Source organism: Homo sapiens, chromosome 2, assembly GCF_000001405.40.
Source record: "Homo sapiens chromosome 2, GRCh38.p14 Primary Assembly".
NCBI lineage: Eukaryota > Metazoa > Chordata > Mammalia > Primates > Hominidae > Homo > Homo sapiens.
The window spans coordinates 156,270,321-156,294,509 of NC_000002.12; the positions used below are offsets into that span (position 1 = coordinate 156,270,321).

Genomic DNA, 24,189 nt, shown 5'->3' on the forward strand with positions numbered 1-24,189 from the left:
TTCTGTGTTCTTTGGGGGTAGGGACTTTTCTTTTATTAGAATAGGCAATCTGTGTTTCTTTTTTCTTGAACTGGGATATGTCAAATTGAAAATGTGGATGCTGATACAACCTCTGCCAATACAACCTCTCCTCGGTACCTCCATCTCCCATTCCCATGTGGAGCATATAACGAAGTCTGTGAGCACATATTGATATAGAAATGATGACTCTATTGTTGGGTATGTGTTATAGAAGGCTTCTAGATAGAAAAGAAAATTGCTTATAAAAATCCTTCCTGGCCGGGTGCGGTGGCTCACGCCTGTAATCCCAGCACTTTGGGAGGCCGAGGCAGGTGGATCACGAGGTCAGGAAATCGAGACCATCCTGGCTAACACGGTGAAACCCCATCTCTACTAAAAATACAAAAAGAAATTAGCCGGACGTGGTGGCAGGCGCCTGTAGTCCCAGCTACTCGGGAGGCTGAGGCAGGAGAATGGCGTGAACCTGGGAGGCAGAGCTTTCAGTGAGTCGAGATCGCGCCACTGCACTCCAGCCTGGGCGACAGAGCGAAACTCCGTCTCAAAAAAAAAAAAAAAAAAATCCTTCCCCAAAAGTACCAAACGCAAAAAAAAAAAAAAAAAAAAAAAGTAGAAGAAGAAAGAACAGAAGTAGTGAACAAGATGACATAGATCACCTGCTCTACCACCTGGTCCCAGGGCATGGCACTTGCAGTGTCAGATCTTCTCCCTCTGTGGGGATGTGGCTATTGATATACGGGATGGCTTTGTTAGTTAGATTGACATCTATGAACATCTTCTCAACAAGATATTTCCTCCTACTTCTAGCAAGGGCTTTATCCTCCTATGATGCCTCCATCCTAGAAATCCCCATCATCCTGCAAAATAGGACCCAAGTTGAGTCCTGTTGACTCTTTTCCTCTGGAAAGATTGCCCCAAGGGTATAGGATCCAAAACACAGCCTGTGCTCTTGTTAGCTTGTTTTTCCTTAGAATCCACTCAGAAAAGCAGAGACATTAATCACTGTTGGCCTAACTACTTAAGGCCGAATAGAAGTTTAGTAATACTTAGCAACTGAAATATTTTTACAGCTAAATTTCACTGTCCAATACAATGTTATTTTGGTTAATATGCTCTAGACAATGTACAGTATTTTAAAACAAAACATTAGGTAAAAATTTTACCCTTTTTCCTTCTTAAGGTAATGGGGAGACGGTTATCATAAACAGTGTCTTTTGGAAAATCCTCCACAACACAGTCTAATGACTGCTTGTCTTTCTTTGCAAAAAAAATGTACATAAAGAGAAACCCAAGGAGCCTATTAAATGGCATATTATAGAAAATCAAAGTGAGGAAGAAGACACATGTACAACTATACTCAGAAAACATACACATACACACAGTAAACATACAAATTATGAATTGCTTCTAAGGTTTTTCATCAACATGTACATGCTATTACATCATTTGTTTCTCTCCTATCAATCACTAATAGACACAAGAAATGATGAAAAGAGAGTTAACATTTACTGAATTTCTCCAGGGTGGCACACACTCAACTTCATATACAATATTTCCTTTCACTTTGAAGACAACCTGATGAGGTATGTAAGTGTTGCTCCCATTTCAGATGAGGGAGCTGACCACAAGGCCATACTCCCCCTATTACACAGTGATGATAAAAATCTTAAAATGATGTATCAGTCAAAAACTTAAAATGAAGAGAATAATATTATATGATTTGTTTTCAATGAAGAAGACTTTCATTGTTTCATTTTTGCATATGACTCTTGACTCAGCTTTTATTGCATCAGTTTCCTCAAGAGATGTACCAAATGCTATCCTAAGTATTTTATATATATATAAACTATTTTAATTTTACCAGTAACCCATGAGGTTTATACGCTGTTATGATTACCACCCACATTGAACTGATGAAGAAAACAGGGGACTGGGAAATTAACATGGATGCCTAATGTAAGAAGCTACTGAGTAACAAAACAGGCTTTTGAGCCCAGGGAGTCCAAGGTCTGTGTCATTCTGTCCTATTGCTTCTTAGCACAGATGTTGGAAACCAGAGATTTGAGGATATGTGTGCTCAGCCAGTCATTAGGTGATGTGTATCTAGTCCTGATTTTACCACACATTAGCTGAAGACTTTGCAGAAGTCACTTAACATCTTTGGGCCTTACTTTCTTCTTCTGTAAAAGGAAGGAGTCACAGATACAGATGGCAAGGGTTAGCCAAAAAAATAAAAATAAAGCTGTTAGGAAGGAAAAATAAAGTATATTTTGATAAATCTTCATGTAATACTTGTGTTTAAGGGGCTTTTATAGCTCAACATCATCTCAATTTACCTTTTGGAGAACACAGATTATGGTTTCTAAATAATCATTCTGACTTCAAGGTGTATAATGGTGTCTCAATGGCTATTGAATCAAACCCAGATTTCTTTCATTGGTATACAAGTTCTTCTATAACATGTGTTTATTCAATTTTATTTCTTCCTACCCTCTGACTCAAGTTCTCTACTTTAGTTAGTATCTGTCTTATATATGTGCCTAGTTCATTCTCACCCCTCACTCTCTTGACCTCCTCATGGGAAAAACTTCTCCTCTCTATCCCTTCCAAATCCATGTCTTGTTCAACATACAGCTCAAACCCTTTCTTCCCCCCATTAAGCACTGTATTTTTCTCTCTCACATAGTTTAACCCTGGGACATAAAGAATCTTTTATTGTAAACTAACTAATCAATTTCCACTTGTTTTTCCACCAACTAGATTAAGAACTAAGGCCATATATTTCCTCCACTTATAACTTCTTCCCTCGGTAATCTACTGTGTACATTAATGAATTCAGTAAATGCATGTTGACTTATTCACTGACCTCTGATATGCATACTACACAAATACTTTGTACGTTAAACTATCATTTCCAGAGAATTCAGTAGCAAGTGCCAAAATGAAATTACATGTGGCTGAATCTTGTTTTAGGTTCTGTTTCTGAATATTGGAGATTTCAAATAGGAATAATGTGGAAAAATCATGCTTCCAAATGGATATCTAGGTAATGAGCATTTTAACAAATGACAACGCCTTGATTTGTTGAAGCAGTGCAGAACAGGAGAAATGACTGTAGGTTTACATCTTGGCTCAGCCACCAACCAGAGTGTTATTTGGGGCAAGTTATAGAATATACGTTTGGTGAAATGTGAACAATAGAACCAACAACAAGAAGTTGTGATGTGTTTTAAATGAAAGAACATAAGTGAGTCATTTCATGCCTGGCTCACGGTAAATAGCCAATAAATAAGCAAATGGTCTATATCTTGATTATAAAATGTTATACATTTGTCAAAACTCATCAAACAATATTCTTGAATATTACTATGTGTAAACACCCTAGTAAACCTGACTTTTAAAATAATGATATTAAAAATGAGAGGCTAGGCAGCCAGAATCACAATCAAAATTATATCACAGATCCCATCTGCTGAGGACACCACAACCAATGAGGCTAAGCATGGAACATTAGGTACTCCTGCTGACACTGCTTGACCTGCCACATTACCAGAATAAATTCCCATCTTTCCATGCTTCTCTGCATCCCTAGCTCCAAATTCAGAAGTCCCAGATGGATGGAGATGATTTGTTGAAATAGATCACATGCAACACCACGACTGTGAAGAACCTTAGGAAAAAGCATCCTATCTTGTTGGTTTCTGTAGTAAGAAAGCTGGCCAGAACTCAAATGAAGGAGAATTCTCAAACACAGAAAAAGCATTTTAAAAATCAACTACACTGCAACATTTAGAAATTTTTGCAAATTAATAAGAAAAAGACAGGCACATCAATATAACATTAAAGTATATAAAATGGCAATGCCCTTATCCCAAACATAATAACATTTGAAAATATTTGATATTTAATCTCACATTAATTACTAGTAATGAATGTTAAGTTAAAATTATAACATATTTTAAACATAAACTTGGCAAATCGGCTTTTTATGTGTCCAGGTTTGAAAAGGATTTGGGGAAATGAATACTTTAATAAACCGAGATGGCAGTATACATTGCTATTATAACATTTCTTGAGAGTACTTGGCAATACCTATTAAAACCTTCAAAAATGTTCATGCTCCTTGATCAAGCAATTTCATTTCTATGGATTCAACCTAATAAAATATTTTTAAAACTACACAAAGACAGATACACAAGTTTTGCTTCTAATAGCAAAATTTGGGGAAATTACCAAGGTCCAATTGTAGACAATTGATTACATAAACCATATGACATTCTTCATACTAAAGAATATTAATCACATAAAATTGTGTTGTGAATAATATTTAGTGACATGGAAAAAATAAATGTCCACTTCATCAAGTAAAATAAAGTTTATCAAGATTTGTGTACCTCTGATAAAATATCTTCACTTACATGGAAAGATACTGCAACTATACATACAAAATGTTAAGAGTGGTATTTCTGAATGGTGATAGCCTAAGTGGTTTTTTGTTTTGTTCAACTATTTTTTTTAAAAAACTATTTAACAAATGTGTCTTTTATATTGAGAAAAACAACAAACTTATTTTTTGAAGTTAGAAGTTGTCCTCTCAGCCTCCAAAGACTCATTTCCCTTAACTAATCATTATGTATTTATCATCTCTGGATGTATCCAATTCCATTTTAAAGCTAGTTTCACATTTTCCATCAAAATCACCTCCTTCAGTATCAAATTTCATATGTTTACTACCTGCAGCAAATTACATATTTTTTATTTGTGTTAAGATTTCCTCTTTTAAACTTCAAAAGAAGCTTGCATAAGAAAGGAATTAACATTTATTGAACACCTACTATGTGCCAGGAACTATTTAAATCCCATTCACATATGTTAGTTCATTTGCATTTAAGTCTGGTTCCAATTATACATAACTTTCATAATTTGACAGGCGTCAATCATTTTTCATTTTCGCCTGCATATTGCCAGACAGATGAGAGCACATATTTTTAGATTGTCCTCAGATGGCAGCACTCACATTCCCTTGATTCAGTTCAGGTGCCCTTTTCTGGACCTGCTCTAGCTATTCTTCTGGTTCCAAAATTCCACACATTGTTCTCCTGACTCTAATACTCTTTTTGATAATGCCCCAAAATTGCTGGCATTTGGGGAAGTAGGCTGCTTTCCTGTGGGAGAATCTACTCTTGGAAATCACTCAAGTAACCCCCAGTTCATAAGAATGAAAAGATTAGCAATATATTTCATCAGTATATTTTAAATATAAATTAAACCTACATCTCACACATCTGAGTCCCTGTTAATAACATAACAACAAATGCTTCCACGGCAATATATTTCTCAGTTCCTATTTTTAACGAGGTTCTACCTTCTGGAAGATGATCTTATTCATTCATTCTCTGTGCCTTGTCTGGACAACAAAGTAGATATGTTCTATGCCAAATTGATCTGGAAACCCGAAGAAACATAATTATCATTAAGCAATACTTTGGCTTCTAGGGTCAGGAGAAATCTCAAGGATTGGAAACTGAAGACTAAATCTGTTCATTTGGTTCAGCAATGCAGTCATTCTGTATTAAGAAGCTATGGCTAAAAATGACCCAAAATCACAGAACACCTCTGTTCTTTCTCTATGTCTCTCTCTCCAACAAAACATGTAAAGTAATTACAGTGATTGAGTTAAAAGGTTCTTGAAATTATGGTTATGCAAAGGATGGCAGGGAGTCACAGAATGACCTTGGTAACCCCAGCAAGCTGATCTCTCTACAAGATCATCCTAAAAAACTTTGGTTTCTATTCTTCAGGAGCTAATGAGCTAAGGAAATTTGATAACTAACACATGACTTTATATTTCAGTATTAAAACTTTATTACTGCAATGAATATGGGTACTGGGCCATAGAGCCAAACCCCCAAAAAAATCTCCAAATGGAGCTAATGAAAATTATGAGGCAGACCAAGAGGAAATCAAGCAGAAGTCCTAAAATAAATCAAATACTCCATAAAGCCATACATGAATGCCAATGTCTATGAACAGGATTACCATATGCCTTATAGACCAATCATGTTATATGAGGCTTTTACTATAAAACTCATAGAATCTAATTGATTCTCAAGGCTTTAAAGGAATTAGAATCTGGCCAAAACTCCACCATATTTATAAGAGTCCTCTTCAATATAACCATCAAGGGACCACCCGGCCTCTGCTTAAAACTGCCCAGGGATAGGGAGCTTATTAACTCCTGAAGCAGCCTATTTCAGCTCCAGAAAGCTCAAATCACTAGAAAGTTCTTTTATTACTAAACTGAAATCTGCTGCTGTGATCTTTCTGTATTCATCCTCTAGGAAGACAGTACATCTGAGGGTTTCCTAAAATGAATGCATATGGTTACTAAAAATTTCTAATGTGTATGCATATCGTGAATGTATACATTTTTCTCCATCAAATGTCAAAAGCATTTATCATATTCACAAAAGTTAAGAATCTCCATTGTAGGGTAATACAGAATAAATCTAAACTTCATCCTGCATGAAAGATACCTGAAGACAAAAATCACACACAGTCTTTGTGTGATTATGAGTCCTCCTTTTTCAAACCAACCATATGTAATTCCTCAACCTGTTTCTCACTTCAGCAGCTTATTGAACTCATTACATTTTTCCAACATGTTAAGTGCCACCTGTATAATATAGTCCCCAAATTAAACACAATACTCTGGATATTCTGCAGCACAAATAAAGCAAGTTTGTCACTGCCCTCTTTCCTGGGTGCTCTACATCTGTTAATGAAGCCTAAGCACTGAACTGTTTCTATCAGTTGGGAAGTTGCTAGCTCTGTGGCCAGGCATTGCTCTATACAAAAGTGAATAAGGACCCAGGAAAGTGGGGTGGCAGTCCAGCCAACAGAGCTGTTCACTTCACTAGCCAGGTGCATGGCCAGGGTCGGGGAAGTCCAGAGCTGTTGAGTCATGGGCCAGCTCTCTTCCATAGGTAGGAGGAAAACCTTAACATATGTACAAGCTGCAAAAGGTCTCTAGGCACCTACTTACTACCACCTAATATTATCAAAATGCCAGGTTGCATCTGTCAATAGACCATCTCTACACAACACTTAAGCAATAAGTCAATCAATCAATAAAAGTTCTCTTCTCTATTCCACAGACTTGATGCTTCCTTACCAGAATCTTTGCTAGAGGACAGAAGAAAGATTTGAGTTCATCTTTCTAACTTTTCTGTATTAATAAAGGAAAGAAAATGAGGTGTAAAAGAGGCACCCAGAAAGACATATCATCTGATAAGAAAGTGATTCTTCTGATTCCTCTACCTTGAACCACCTTCTTTATTAGTTCCTCCACTAAAAGTTGCTAACAAAATTGGTCCATGCATGAGACTTACATGACACTATAACTTGCTAATGGGCAGTCTGGCTGTACTTTAAAAGAAAGTTTTCATGACCTATGGATTCTCTTGCCGTCCTGTCTTGGACCAGGCAGCACCTGCCACTGGAAAGAAGGGAGATGGTAATCCATTTCTTTTATTCCATGTAACTGAATAGATAAACAGACTTAACATCCTTCTGGAATGCAACTAGAGTTGCCAATTTTTGCAAATAAAAATACAGAATTGCTAGTTAAATTTTAACATCAGATAAAGAATAAATAATTACTCGTGTAAGTATGCCCTGTGCAATATTTGAGATATACGTCACAGTGAAAATGTATGTATTGTTTATCTGATGTTCAAATTTAACTAGCTATCCTGTATTTTGCCTGACAACTACACACCCAATTATTTCAACCCTTCTTTTCTACTTTCCTTCTCTCTTTCTCTCCCTCTTTCTTTCCTCCTTCATCCCAATATCTTTCTTTTTGTGCCAGCATATACATCAAGGGTTTGGAGGTTCTAAGATCTGAACTAGGACCAAAAAAAAAAGAGTCTAAGAAATTCAAAGTGGACCTCAAGCCCAAGCACATTCTCCAAATCATCTTTAAGCAGAACTCTGCCCTTGGCATGGTGGTAGAAGACTCGTTATTCAGTTATTTTTAAACTTGTACTTTTTTTTTGTTTGAATAATGTTCCTCGACCACTGTAAAACTTCCTGATTAAGAGACAAGAGAGGAGAAGAGAGCAACAAAAAAAGATCCATACTTAGGGAGGCCCTGACTTAATGCCAACAAGTATTATCAAAACTTTATCTTTGAACTGTCATACATGCCTTGTGGAATGCACAATAGTACAGCTAGTCAGGAAAAGTTTGACAGCTTCTTATAAATTTACATATGCATATACTATATGACCCAGCAATCCCACTCCTAGAAAGAAAGTTGAAATGAAATCTCTTGTTCACACAAAAACCTGTGCACAAATATTTGTAGCACCTCTATTCTATTCATAATCACCAGAAACTGCAAACAGCCCAAAACGTTCTTCACCAGATAATGAATAGACTAACTGGTACACCCATGAAACAGAAGACAAGGGCAATAAAAAGAAACAAACTAGATAATGAGCAATAACTTGGACAAATCTCAAAGGCATTGTACCTGGTGAAAGAAACCAATCTCAAAAGGTTACACATTGTACAATGCTACACATATTACATTCTCAAAACAATACAAAACTATAGTGCCACAAAACAGATCAATGGTTACCAGGAGTTACAGGTGGGGACAGAGAAGACTTATAAACGGATAGTGTGAGAAAATGCTTTGGGGTGAGGAAACTGTTCTGTGTGTGTCTTGAGTGTGGTGGTGTTTCCAGTATGTATACGTAAGTCAGAACTGGTAGAACTGCACGCCAAAAAATATGCTATTTTACTTTATGTTAATTTAAAGATTTTCTCTAAGAGTGGGGGCATCTTAACATGAACCCATAACAACAGCTCAAAAAAAAAAGAGAGAACTAGCACCCTTAAATTATACTCTGTGTAACTAGAATTAAATCTGCTTCTTCATGTCCCTGCTTTTTACAGCTCTTCCCCTTCATAAACAATTGAATACGTGGATTTGGTGGAGCTACTTTGAGCCCCTGTACATAAATTGCTATTTTTTACAGATATGGGAATCAAATCTTAACTTAATCCAAAGCGATGCATCTTATGAATCTTTGTGTCACAGATTTCTTGCTGTGGCCTAAAATCAGACCCTAAAGATCCAGTACTGAATTCTAAAGTATAACACTACTACTCCATTGACATTGCAGATACAGCTTTGGGTAGCTAGGGTACCTGTTATGTGACCTCAGTGCAATGCTGTCAATCAGAGTTTGAGCTCCTGCTCCAGATATGATTAACCTGATTGTCATGCTTTTTTCTGAATGATATGATATGATCCTACACAATGTAGGCTGATTCATAAGTCAAGCACAAGGAAATGTAAAATAGATGAGTTGTATGTATGTGAAAGGAAGCAAGCTCTATGAAAAATCCATCAAGTTATCAGTACATGAGGGTGTTTTTTTTTTTAACACAATTTAGAATTAACAGAGAAGAAAATAGGAAAGCAGATTCAACAAAGATTTTTGTCAAAGCAACTGTTCAGTCCTAGGAGGCTCCGCCAGCTGTCTGGTTGTGTAAGGAATCCACAGCCATGGCTCGCTGGTTGCAAAGCTGGGAACGGAATCAGAACTGAAGCCTCATTGCCATAGGAACACTAACGTCTGCATTTTTCTTTTCTTCGTAAAACTGTACATGAGAACTGCTAATAAATTTCACATATCTTGGCTTTATAAGAGAAAAATCTCAAGATGTGCATAACTTGGCAATTTTCTTCAAGTTTGGAAGCTTGATGGAGTTTTCAGAGTATTCCTCAAGGATGTGTCCTAATTTATTTTTTAAAAAGATAGATGATATAAAAAAGTCACATACATTCTAAACTTCAGTGAAAATAAAAATAAAAATAATGCTCTTTAAAAAATATCTTAAAGAAACAGAGGGCTCTGCAGCCACATATATCTATCAGATTCCTTGTCATATGGACTCCTTGCAGATGTTTAATCATGTCATTCCTAGTGATCCATCTTTCTTTCTTTTTCACTTCTAGGTATTACAACAATCTGTTTCTATAAGGATGACCAATGACATTGTTTTTGATTCAACAAATATGTGTTAACACCTACCTTGTACCATGCCAGAAATCGTGCTAGGCATTGAGGGAAAAAAAATAGATGCCTAAGATGGAGTTCTTGTCATCGAAGAGTTCAGTCTGGTAAGGTTAACAGTCTGGTCAAGGAGACATCCAGACGAAAATATAATGAGGCAAATACAACCAGGAAACTGCCAGTCACAAGGCATTGTGCAAAAACTGATTAATTCCATGTTACCAAAAAGACGCCTGCACTCATATGTTTATCACAGCACTATTTACAATAGCAAAGTCATGGAATCAATCCAAGTGCCCATCAATGGTAAATTAAATAAAGAAAATGTGATACATATATATCATGGAATACTAAACAACCATTAAAAAAATAATAAAGTATTGTCCTTTGCAACAACATGGATGCAGCTGAAGGCCATTATTCTACGTGAATTAATGCAAAAATAGAAAGTCAAATGCTGCATTTCTCACTCTGAGTGGGAACTAAACAATGGGTACACATGGACATAAAGATAGAAACAATAGACACTCCCCAGTGTCCAAAAGGAGACAGGGAGGGGGAAAACGGCTATCTATTGGGCATTATGCTTACTCTTTGGGTAATGGGTTCACTAGATGCCCAAACCCCACCATTACAGAATATGCCCGTGTAACAAACCTGCACATGTACCCCCTGAATCTATACTTTTTTAAAAAAATGATAACTATCAGAAAGCAGAAGCTAAAGGCAAGGATGGAAACTTCCCCTGGGACTAACAACTGAATTCTGTATTGACAAAGCAAGAGTTGACCAGTTGAACAATGTAAGAATGAACATTCTTACCAGAGATGAGAATGTACAATGACCAGGTTGAACAAAAACCAATTCAAAGATTTAGTCAAGAACCAAGTTATATATATGCAGTATAGTAACAATATGCACTGTTTCTATCTTCGAAAACATTATTCTCTTGGCAATATGAGAGCATGTCTCATATTATTCTCAGTGATCAGACTCAACAGTGATCAGACTCAAACTTGGTTACATGTACATGTAAGGGAAATAAAATAAGCTTCTTATACGCTCATGATTCTTCTTCTCTATGGTATTTGAAATATGTAGGATATTGATAAAAAGAACAGACATTTCTGAATGTATTTAGCGACATATCATCATAACGAGATTACCAGAGTAATCATCATTTATCCAAAAATTTTTAAAGAATTTTTACAGCACTTATATATCAACTTTTCTATGTTCCCCATTCCTCACTTATATATCAACTTTTCTATGTTCCCCATTCCTCCATTGAATATGATTATCTTTTACAGACACAGTATGGTAAATATATTGTTGATTAAGATGGTATATATGTTATTTTTATAAATTGGGGATTTTTTAACCAAAGCTTTTGTTGTCATCTCACTTTGAATGAATTAACATCAAATATTCCTATTTTTACTAATTTGGAAATTAGGAACGTATAAAGAGATTTATGACAAACTCACCTGTGAATCTTGAAGAAAATGAATTTGCCACAAGCTACAAGAATTACTAGATGACTATGATTAGATGACAAAGGATAAAATAAATATGTTAAAAATAATAAATGTCATATATAATGAAATTTCATAATAAAACAAATGCCCTAATCATTAGTCTAAATTTTTAGAATTCATTAATAAATAAAAAAGGTGTGTTTCATATTAATAAACAGCATGTGGACAGCTGTAAAGCCAACACTGACAATTCTCACTAGCTAATGAAAGTGGGTTTACTTTAAAGAGCTTAATTGTGGCAAGACTCATTCCTAAGAAACCCCTCATACTTAGGCTTCAGAGAAGTTTTAAATATCTGATACCAAAGGGGAAAAAATGTTATGAGTTGGAGATTCAATTACCTAATTACTATTAAATTTGCTGGAAAGAATTAGTACCACTCTTCTCTTATAATGATGAAGCTAAAATGGCAAAAGCTAGAAGTAATTCCAGGATTTTCATTATGTTATCTATTGAACAATCTCTGGTATATCTCTACTCATGAATTAATATCTTGCTTAAGAGTGCCTTCTCTCCTAGCAGGATGAATGTTACCTTAAGTCAAATGCTATATTAAGTTGATATAAATTTGCAAAATCAGAGTTATAAAAAGAATATGTACTATTTTACTCAAATTATGCACCATCATTGAACAGTTCTAACACCTAATTTAGAGTACTTTGTTTTAATATTAGCATTATTTTGATAAAATTGCACACACCTTTTCTACATTATAATGTATGAAAATTCTATTTCTATAATATTTGCTTCTCTAGTTATAAAGTAGCTCCAGAGTCATGGTTAATATATTCATGCCAAGGCTTCTTTCATCATCTGTCTAAAGCGACATTGAAACTGAAGATTTTTTTTAATTTGGCAGTCATTGAATATACTCATTTTATGCAGAGCTCATGCAGTATGATATAGCTGCTCACTTAGTGCCTCAGCCTACCAAGAAAATTATATAATTATATAAAATGCATTGTTGGTCCTTTCCTCTGTGCACTCAGAGAAGAAAGATATTTCAACTTTGACTTTGCACCACCAACAATGGTAAGACTGGCAGAGCTGATATTTTTTTAAGAACTGCCAATTATACCATTACAAATGCAAATCTTCATTAGAAAAAAATAGTAATACCTTTAGCAAACAGACATACCAAAATAACTGTCAAATTGTTCAATTTGGTTAAAATAATCAGTGAAATATTAATAATTTACTAGTAGAGTAAAACAATTTTGGACGTCAAGAAAACTGAACAATATTCACAAGTCTGTAAATGAAACCACACAATATCTTCATGTGGGACATACACCTGTAATGTTGGTCATCAGTCTGTATTAAAATGTTATATAACATGGAAAATTTAATCTTATATGTTTTAAATTAATGATGAGATTTGCAGGCTGATATGACTGCAAAAGTGTGGTCTAGTAATTGTTTCCTAAATTCTTCACTTTTTTTTAATTATACTTTAAGTTCTAGGGTACATGTGCACAACGTGCAGTTTTGTTACATATGTATACATGTCCCATGTTGGTGTGCTGTGCTGCACCCATTAACTCGTCATTTACATTAGGTATATCTCCTAATGCTATCCCTCCCCACTCCCCCAACCCCACAACAGGCCCTGGTGTGTGATGTTCCCCACCCTGTGTCCAAGTGTTCTCATTGTTCAATTCCCACCTATGAGTGAGAATGTGCGGTGTTTGCTTTTCTGTCCTTAGGATAGTTTGCTCAGAATGATGGACTTTTTTATCCAGGCAAACTTGACAAATAGTATTCTGTTTGGTTTGGTTGGTTTGGTTTTACATTTGGCCTCCTCGTAAATTCCGGACCATCCTGTCACCTAATTTAGATGCATTCTCTCTGGGCCCACATAGGTTTTCAGACATGACTCTCATAGTACATTCCCCATCCCCTCACAGTTGGGGTTTATCTACTTCTTTCTCCCCAACTAGGCTGTACCTTCCTTGAGAACAAGAATAAGCAAGTCTTTCTTGACTTTTTATCCCCAGGGCCTAGGACTGTGCCTGGAACACAGTATTTGTTCAATAAATATTTGATAAGTGAATAAAGCAGCCAACTCAAGGGGAAATAAAGTTCAATATAATATGAATTAATATTAACAGCTTGCCCTTTTTCTTTATATTTATCCTTTCCCTCCTCCTCTCGCATTGCTCTCGGCCCCTCCTCTGCTCTTCTCCCTCCCCAAATTCTGTATATAATATTAACAACTATTACTTAAATGGTAAAAATAACATAACCAGTGTCTAGTACAGAGCCTGCAGTATAGCACATTCTCAACAAGTAATTTTTGAATAAAGGAAAGGAAGGAGCCACGAGGGGAAAAAGGAAGGATAATATTCAAAAACTCAGTAGAGATGCTACGTTGCAAGGCTTAATACAGTGTAAAGAAGGTTACTGCCTCACCCTTTCCTCCTTTGCCTTTGATACAAATTTATTATCTGCATATTGAGCTTTTCTCTATAGTTCATTTTGTCTAATTATAATTTTCTAAAAATTAAACATGATTTAAATGAAAGAGATAGAGTTCACATTGCAAAAGATCAACCCTGGTGATCTAGATTGTAGCCCATTTCTCTGACCAAGAAATAAATATGCTCCTTGTCTATCCGACTCTCAGTTTGTAGGGAAATCAATCACACCAAATGATGTTCGAAACCCCAGGAGTGTAGGAAAAGTCAAACCCACACCCACCCATCCACTTCTGGTGGGGACAAAATAAACAGCATATGGAATCTGCATTATGGGTTCAGTTTAATTCAATCAATGTCTGAATATTTGTTTAATTCAATCAATGCCTGAATATTTGTTTCCTGGATGTTTGTTAAATATTTGCATGAGGGAATCGGGTTAATTAATGCATAAAAGTAGTCTGACTTCAGAGTGACTTTTGATATAAGTAGGAAAGAGAAAGCTGGAAATGCTGGCTCTTTATGAAAGTCAATTTCTCTTCTGCGCTGACCAAATAACAGGAAAAATACAAGATTTTGGGTGCAAGGGTTTTTTTTAATTGACAGCAGAAGATATAAGTGGCATTTTCTGTGGGTTGTTAAAACTAATTTGTCAGTGCTAAGCTAGGAATTAATATATTTCTGTGATGGTTTTAGATGCACTTTTTAGTTTTATTTTTAGTTGACAAATAATAATTGTGTATATTTATGGGGTGTAAAATTATATTTTAATACATGTGTACATTGTAAAATTATTGAATCAAGGTAATTAGCATATCTATCACTGCAAATATTTATCCTGTTTGTGGTAACAACATTTACTATCCTCTATTTTAGCTACATTAAAATATACAGTACATTATTATTAACTATAGTCAGGCACTCTTTTTCAATCAATTTTTGCTATTGAAGTTGTCATTGTTCTCATTAAAATGTTTATATAATTGTAAAGAAATAGAGATATAATATTGGCAACTTTGTTTTTATGTACTTTTTAAGATAATTAAGTCCATACAAGCAAAATGCTTCATTTGAGAGGATTTAATTTATTAATGCTAAAACTCACCCAGTCCAGCAAAGTGTTCCAGTAAGTTTCCTCTATGAATTTGGCCACTTGAAGGGTGTTTTTAAGTTGTGACAATGGAGCAATATGTAAGATAGACAACGTGTCTTTTATTTTTCCTATATGCAGGAACTTAGGAGTTTATTCAAACCATTACTATCTCTAAAATTCTAGCCAATGCTTATTCCATAGGATTAGCCCAGGGCTGAGTAGGTCATCCCTGCCCCCTCCATAAAATATCTCCCTTGTCCTCATGTGCCATCATGCTTGAAATTCTCTTTAAAGATTCATTCATTTGGGTTAAACATTATCCTCTGATTAAAAAATGCAAATAAATGAAATAAAACTTGAAGCTACTAACCCATAAAAATCATAAATCACAAGACTGGAAGCAACCCTTGAAATCATCTATTCCCACCTCTGTTCTACAGAGAATCTGTGCCTGATGATAACCCCAGTTAAGCTATTAAAAAATATCAGGGAAGAAAGCAGGGTACAGATAGAGAAGGTAGAGAAGGCCATGAGTGTTGAAGGCAGGGCTCGTCTTAGCCACCATCGTGTGCAGAACTAACTGTTCTACTTAGTTAATGCTACCATATATCTTGTCATCAAAAAGATGGATTTCGAAGACAAAGAGAACCACTATCTTCTGGTGACGTAACTTAGGCAAGATTGTTTTCCCCTTCTCAGCTTTAATTCCTTATTATAAATAAAAATAAAGAAAATATGCCCTTCATGGCTGTTTTAAAGAGAAAATAAAGTAAAATTTTGTGATGTGCTACTTTATTCTTTTATTTTTCTTTTTAAAAAAAGTTATCCTCAAATGCTTGTTAAAAAAAAAAAGGAAAGAAAAAGAAAAAACATCTGGTGCCAGACTTTACCTGAGGGTAGCTTTTATCTAAAGTCAAGTCATTAAACAACCATGTCAGTGGCCACTCACCATAGCACTTCCAAGGGTGTTAATATACTACTCAATTTTATATCAGCTTGGATTTTTAAAAAGAGCTAAACCCACATGATTACACAGAACTACTAGTACGTATGTTCCACAAGGGCAGGGACTTTAGTTTTGTTCATAACTATATACCCAACACCAGCACATAATGGGAGAGCAAAAATAGTCATTGAATAAATGAAGGAATCCTTCTATTTCCCTACAAGATCGAGAGAGGCTTTGTAAGGAAAGAAAAAGAGATCACGACTACAAGTTAAGTTTATTTTATGTAGATATGCAAAGGTTGTAATAATGAAGAAAAATAAGAGAAAAAGAAAAAGCAGCCACCAATGTTTGTAGTGTACCTACTTGTACCAAGTTCTTTTAATCCTCACAAAACTTTCTAAGGTGATATATTTACTTGCCCCCATTCTAAGATAAGGACACTTACGCACAGAGATAGTGACTTCTCTAAAAGATAATACCGTTTGTCGTAACTTTAAAAAAAAAAATTTTTTTTTGAGATGGAGTTTTGCTCTTGTCACCCAGGCTGGATTGCAATGGCACGATCTCGGCTCACCGCAACCTCCACCTCCTGGGTTCAAGTGATTCTCCTGCCTCAGCCTCCCAAGTAGCTGAGAGTACAGGCACCCGCCACCACACCTGGCCAATTTTTCTATTTTTAGTAGAGACGGGGTTTCACCATGTTGGCCAGGCTAGTCTCGAACTCCTGACTTTATGTGATCCGCCTGCCTGAGCCTCCCAAAATGTTGGGATTACAGGCATGAGCCACCGTGCCTGGCGTGTTGTAACTAAAATTTAAACCTAGGATTGTTTGACTGAAAAGTCCATATACTGTTTACCGTATCATGTGTCCTCAAAAATCTAAAATAGAAAAAAAAAAAAAAAACCTGACAAGCCTAAATGCAGAGTGGGAAAATAAGAATAGTAGAATAGCAGAAGACACTTCGACCAAAAAAGAACATATATTCTTCAGTTTTAAAAACCGACATAAGTCTAGCATATATTTCTAGATTTAGAAATACAATAATGAAAACTCATACTATGTCTAAATTTCATTGATTTTAACTTTCAAATTACAATATATTTAACAGGTTATTGATCTGTTCAACGAGTTCACACACATTGATGATCACAACAGAGAAAACCTTGACTAGCAAACTCAATGTTTTCTCTATTAAAATTTTCAGGTGCCTTAGAGTATTCATCTCAATGGTTATAATTAATTTCAGTATCTTCTGCATTAATTCAGTGACTGCAAATTCTGGTAAAGTACAACTGGTGATTCAGTAAATGAATAATTAGGTAAGATAGGAGACTAAACCAGAGACTCTATATTGGCAGCCACTAGTGAAATGTGTGGTTGTGAGAGAAATGTTGGGGAAGTTCATCTAGGTTGCATTGAATGTGTCTGATCAGAGCTTTACCTCAACAGGTTGGGGAAAGTCACACTGTGCCCTGGGGAGAAATAAGCTAAACGGAACTGAATTAAAGTTTATTAGATTGATCAGACAGTATGCTAATAAGCAATCTACTTCCCAAGTTACACTATCTAACTTGATTGAAATGGACATGGCTGACACCTGCAAATGAGTTTTAGACACTTGATGTATAGACATAGAACCTATTTGGGCAAATCCAAACCAAACCAAACTAGGTTAAGCTGATGTGTAAGTCATGTTAATGTTATCTAGACCACATACACAGAATGAAACTCAATGTGATAAATGCAGAACACTGTGATATATGTATCTTGTTAACAAAAAAAAAAAGTATTTAGTTATTTATAAGTCAATAAACATTGTTGAACAATTATCACCAGGTCAAGTTGTAAAGGAAGATTGAACCAATGGAGAATTAAGCAAGATTGCTGAACGTGAAAAATTGGAAATAATAAATGAGCACAATAAAATTGGGCAAGCTTGATCATAAAGTCTAACATCCCTTTCCAACCTAAAATTCTAATACCTCCAGGGTTACACTTACTTTGATCTTTGAAAGATAACTACTTATTATATACCCCTCTGCCTACAAAAAAAAACAACTTGCAAATATTGGCAAAAAAAAGTGAAAAAAGAGAAATTAATAAAAACTTATTTCTGATTTCATAATACAGCTAGGCTTCTGTGGCTAAATTGGAATCTCATTCCCATTTTTGTGTGTACAAGAAGTGTTGTCTAAAAACGATGACCTTCCTCTGTTTTTGAACTAGCCTTACTGACGTATATAATTTGTAGACCACAAATGCAATTGTACAATTCTTTTTTTTTAGTAATGTACAACATTGTGCAATTATCACAACGATCAAGTTTTAGGACATTTCTATTACCCTAAAAAGATCCCTCATGCCCATTCACTGTGAAATCCTGCTCCCACTCTTAGCCCCAGATAACCACTAATTTGCTTTCTGTCTCTATACATTTACCTTTACTGAAAAGTTTATTTAAACAAAGTCAAAGAAGATACAGAAGATGGTAGTCTTTTGTATCTGGCTTCTTTCACCGGGCATAATGTTCTTGAGGTATATCCATACTGTAGCATGTGTCAGTAGTTTGCCCCTTTTGTGGCTGTATAGTATTCCATTGTATGAGTACACCACATTTTGTTTATCCATTTATCACTTGATGGACATTTGAATGGTTTCCAATTTAGGGCTCTTATGAATAATGCTGCTATGAGTATTTGTGCATACAAGTCATGTGGACGTATGTTTGCATTTCTCTGGGGTAGATATTAGGAGTAACATTTCTAGGACATAGAGTAAATTTATGTTTAACTTTTTTTAGAAACTACCAAATTGTTTTCCAAAGTGGCTGTACCACTTTTTATATTCCCACCAGTGATGTGTGAGAGTTTCTTGACACCCTCATCAAAATTTGATATTGTCTTTCTAAGTACACCCACTTTAATGGGTAAATAGTGTGCTGTCATTGTGATTATAATTTGCATTTCCCTAATGAGTCATGATTTTGAGAATCTTTTCACCTGCTTATTAACTTTTGGATATCTTCCTTGGAGAAACATCTATTCAGATATTGCACCCATTTTTTATTTGGGTTGTCTGTCTTATCTTTGAATTGTAGGAGTTATTTATATATTCTGGATGCAAATGCTTTCTTAGACACAAGCTTTCCAAATATTTTCTCCCAGTTATTGTCTTGTCTTTTCATTCTTTTAAAGGTGTCTTTTGAGGAGCTAAAATTTTCTTTTTATAAAGTCCAGTCTATCAATATTTTTTCTTTTATGGATCCTGCTCTTGGCATCACATCTAAGAAATGTTTGTCTAACCCAAGGTTGCACAAAGATTCTCTACTTTTTTGTCTTCTACAAGTTGTATTATGTTATCTTGTACATTACGTTTATGGTTTGTTGTTGTTGTTGTTGTTGTTGTTGTTGTTGTTGTTTTTAGGTGGAGTCTCACTCTGTCAGTCAGGCTGGAGTGCAGTGGTGCCATCTCAACTCACTGCAGGCTCTGCCTCCCGGGTTCAAGCGATTCTCCTGCCTCAGCCTCTTGAGTAGTTGGGATTACAGGTGCACACCACCACACCCATCTAATTTTTGTATTTTTAGCAAAGGTGGGATTTCACCATGTTGGTCAGGCTGGTCTCAAACTCCTGACCTCAGGTGATCTGCCTGCCTCAGCCTCCCAAAGTGCTTGGATTACAAGCGTGAGCCACCATGCCAGCCCATGATTCATTTTTATTTCATTGTGTATGTGAGTTAAGGGTTTATGCTTGCTTTGTACATATGGATATACCATTGTCCCAGCACAATTTGTTGAAAAGGCTATCCTTTCTCCCTTGAATTAGCTTGGCATTTTTGTTAAAAATCAACTGACTATAAATGTAAGGACTTCTAGACTATCCATGCTGCTCCATTGATATATATGTTTATCCTTTCACCAACACCATGCTGTCTTGATTACTGTTGCTTTAGAAAAAGTTTTAAAATTGGGTGCTCTAAGTCCTCCATCTTTTTATTTTTTCAAAATTGTTTTGGTTATTTCAAGTTCTTTGCAGTTCTATATAAATTTGGGGTATTCGTTTTTCAATTTTTACAGAAAAAAACTTTCTGGGATTTTGACAGTGATTGTGTTATATCTATAAACCAATTTGAGGATGATGCCATCTTAACAATACTGAGTCTTACAATCCATTAAATGGTCTTTTTATTTATTTAAACATTCTTTGTTCCCTTTTAGCAAAATTTTACAGTTTTTTTTAATATGTCTTGCATCCCTTGGTTTATTTTTGAATGTTTTTATGCTATCGTGGATGGAACTGATTTCTTAATTTCATTTCTTGTTTTCTAATATATACAAACACAATTTTTTTGTGTCCTGTGACCTTGCTGAACTTGTTTTTAAGTTCCAGGGGGTGTTTTGGGGTGGTTTTGTTTTGTTTTAGTTTTTGTACAATTTTTAGGATTTTCTACATACTAGATCATGTTGCTTTTTGTTTTGTTTTGTTTTTCTTTTTAATAATTTGCCTGGACTCAATCTGGGTAATCTTTCTTCCTCCTGCAGTGTAGGAACTGGTGTCTCTGCTCAATTTTTTTAACCTGGTTTCCCAGGGGTCACCCTGACTTCATAGCAGCCAACCAATACTTGAACTGAGAATGTGTTCAAACATCTTGAGCTAATAAAGTCTTCCACCCTTTGCTGATGGATCAGTGTGTGGGTTATAGAGCACTTTCTAAGGTTCCCCTGGCTTTTACTTTCAACAAAAATCTGGGTTATCGCTCAAGTGAACAGCCTCCCCATCACCCAGGGAGTGTGCAGAGCTTCTCTAGCCCCTGACTTGTCTCATTTCCAGGATCTCCTTATTAAATATTTGGCTTGTCAGCTGGTCTGTTTCTTGCCCTAAACAGGACTATAATATTAGCCTAGGAGAGCTGTGGGCTTTCTTCATTCATTTTCTTCCAAGTTTGTTATTTTTACTGACAACACCACTGGGCTTAAATTTTTTACCCTCCTCTCCATATTAAGCCAGCCTCTCTCACAGTGAAACTGATGTTTTCCACAGTTACTTCTGTCCTGGCTTTACCGCTGCAGCCAGGCTGAGGAAAGAGGGCCAGAGAAGGAAACAGTCCCAGGCAAGAACACCACAAACTCCCACTGTTTTTACCTGATATTCAGCAATTTTTATGAATAAACATTTCTCAATTTGTTGTTTCCCTTTGGTTGATTTCTAGAGGTTATTTTTTACAATTTTATCCAGCTTTACAGTCAGTTTTGAAGAGGACTTGCCAACCTCCTTCTCTCCACCATCAAGGGAAGTGCTGTCTCTAGCTACCTCTGTTTTGTTCCTTCTGTGATGCTCCCTGCTTAACTTGGTTGAATCATCTGAGCCCGTTTAGTGATTTTTATACTTTTTTCTTCACTGTTTTTAGCCATTGATATTATGCTTTTTTTTCCAGAATGCATTTTTTTCATTTTTATACTTGTGGTTTATTATGCATATTTTTCCTTTCTTTCAAGCTACTTAGCATTTGGAAATAATTTGCATCAGAATTTAACTTTGCATACAGGAATATAATGCACAGTTGTTTTCTTCTTTTAAAACAAAGGTAAGGTACCCATGTTTAATCTTTATCAGAATTTTATATATGTTCTTGTCATTTTGAAAAATTATCTGTAACCATCTTATTAGAAAAAAAATGGCAAACTCAAAGGAGCAATTGAAGGGATTTTAGTAAAAGGATCATTTATAAGGTTATAGCATAGTGGTTCTTAACTGGGGGTGGTGTTTTTTCCACTCAGACATGTGGCAAAGTTTGGAGACATTTTTGGTTGTCATGCTGGGAAGTTCCATTGACTTCTAGTGAGTCAGGGCAAAAGACGGTGCTAAACATTTTATACTACACAGCACAGCCCCCACCACAAAGAATTTTCTAACCAAAATATCAATAGTGCCAAGGTTGAGAAGCCATGATTTAAGGAAATCAACAAAAAATTATAAGTCTCTTAGGGCAGGGATCCCCAGGGCAGGGCTCCCCAACCCCAGGTCCGAGGACTGGTACCAGTCCATAGCCTGTTAGGAATCAGGCCGCACAGCAGAAGGGGTGCAGGGTGGGCAAGCTAGCATTACCACCTGAGCTCTGCCTCCTGTCAGATCAAATGGAACAGTTTCATGACAAAACCATCCCTACCCACTTCCCCCGGTCTGTGGAATAATTGTCTTCCACAAAACAAGTCCCTGGTGCCAAACAGGTTGGGAATTGCTGCCTTAGGGAGTCACAAAGGGTGATTATTACCCTTAGGCCCAAAGGATCAAGGTGAGGGGGCTGTTACCAGATCCCAGTTAGAGTCACAGTATGGAGAGGGGCCATAAGACAGGGCTGATGCAGCTTGTATAGGGCTTAAGTTTGTACAGTTTCGAGGATTCTCTTTAAGAAAAAGAATATAAAATTATAAATATGAAATTAGCCCTCTCCCTCTCCCTCTCCCTCTCTTTCCATGGTCTCCCTCTCATGCTGAGCCGAGGCTGGACTGTGCTGCTGCCATCTCGGCTCGCTGCAGCCTCCCTGCCTGATTCTCCTGACTCAGCCTGCCCAGTGCCTGCGATTGCAGGCTCGCGCCGCCACGCCTGACTGGTTTTGGTGGAGACGGGGTTTCGCTGTGTTGGCCAGGCCGGTCTCCAGCCCTTAACCGCAAGTGATCCGCCAGCCTCGGCCTCCCGAGGTGCCGGGATTGCAGATGGAGTCTCGTTCACTCAGTGCTCAATGGTGCCCAGGCTGGAGTGCAGTGGCGTGATCTCGGCTCGCTGCAACCTCCACCTCCCAGCCGCCTGCCTTGGCCTCCCAAAGTGCCGGGAGTGCAGCCTCTGCCCGGCCGCCACCCCGTCTGGGAAGTGAGGAGCGTCTCTGCCTGGCCGCCCATCATCTGGGATGTGAGGAGCCCCTCTGCCTGGCTGCCCAGTCTGGAAAGTGAGGAGCGTCTCCGCCCGGCTGCCATCCCACCTAGGAAGTGAGGAACACCTCTTCTCGGCCGCCATCACATCTAGGAAGTAAGGAGCGTCTCTGCCCGGCCGCCCATCGTCTGAGATGTGGGGAGCGCCTCTGCCCCGCCGCCCCATCTGGGATGTGAGGAGCACCTCTGCCCGGCCCCAACCCCGTCTAGGAGGTGAGGAGCATCTCTGCCCGGCCGCCCCGTCTGAGAAGTGAGGAGCCCCTCCGCCCGGCAGCCGCCCCGTCTGAGAAGTGAGGAGCCTCTCCACCCGGCAGCCACCCCATCCGGGAGGGAGGTTGGGGGGGTCAGCCCCCCGCCCGGCCAGCCGCCCCCGCTGGGAGGTGAGGGGCGCCTCTGCCCGGCCGCCCCTACTGGGAAGTGAGGAGCCCCTCTGCCCGGCCACCACCCCGTCTGGGAGGTGTGCCCAGCAGCTCATTGAGAGCGGGCCAGGATGACAGTGGCGGCTTTGTGGAATGGAGAGGCGGGAGGGGTGGGGAAGGGATTGAGAAATCGGATGGTTGCCGTGTCTGTGTAGAAAGAAGTAGACATGGGAGACTTTTCATTTTGTTCTGTACTAAGAAAACTTCTGCCTTGGGATCCTGTTGATCTGTGACCTTACCCCCAGCCCTGTGCTCTCTGAAACATGTGCTGTGTCCACTCAGGGTTAAATGGATTAAGGGCGGTGCAAGATGTGCTTTGTTAAACAGATGCTTGAAGGCAGCATGCTCGTTAAGAGTCATCACCACTCCCTAATCTCAAGTACCCAGGGACACAAACACTGCGGAAGGCCGCAGGGTCCTCTGCCTAGGAAAACCGGAGACCTTTGTTCACTTGTTTATCTGCTGACCTTCCCTCCACTATTGTCCTATGACCCTGCCAAGTCCCCCTCTGTGAGAAACACCCAAGAATTATCAATAAAAAATAAATAAATTTAAAAAAAAAGAAATTAGCCATGAAGATAAATATTTTAAAGTAAAAAATCACAAATGTTTAAAATCTAACAAATACAAACAAAACAAAATCCAGGAAAATGGCGTAATATTTTATTAACAGACATAGCTTTGGAATACTTTTTTCCTTACATTTTCACCTGTTGGTTGCATATCCTGATTGCTT

General features: G+C 37.3%; 1 annotated feature.

The window, feature by feature from the left end:
* Positions 22,252-23,142: an enhancer, noted in NCBI's record as "H3K27ac hESC enhancer chr2:157149084-157149974 (GRCh37/hg19 assembly coordinates)". NCBI's record gives its function as "activates a minimal SCP1, AML or CMV promoter by ChIP-STARR-seq in naive and primed H9 embryonic stem cells {active_cell/tissue: H9 hESC(naive and primed)}" and the evidence as "EXISTENCE:reporter gene assay evidence [ECO:0000049][PMID:30033119]".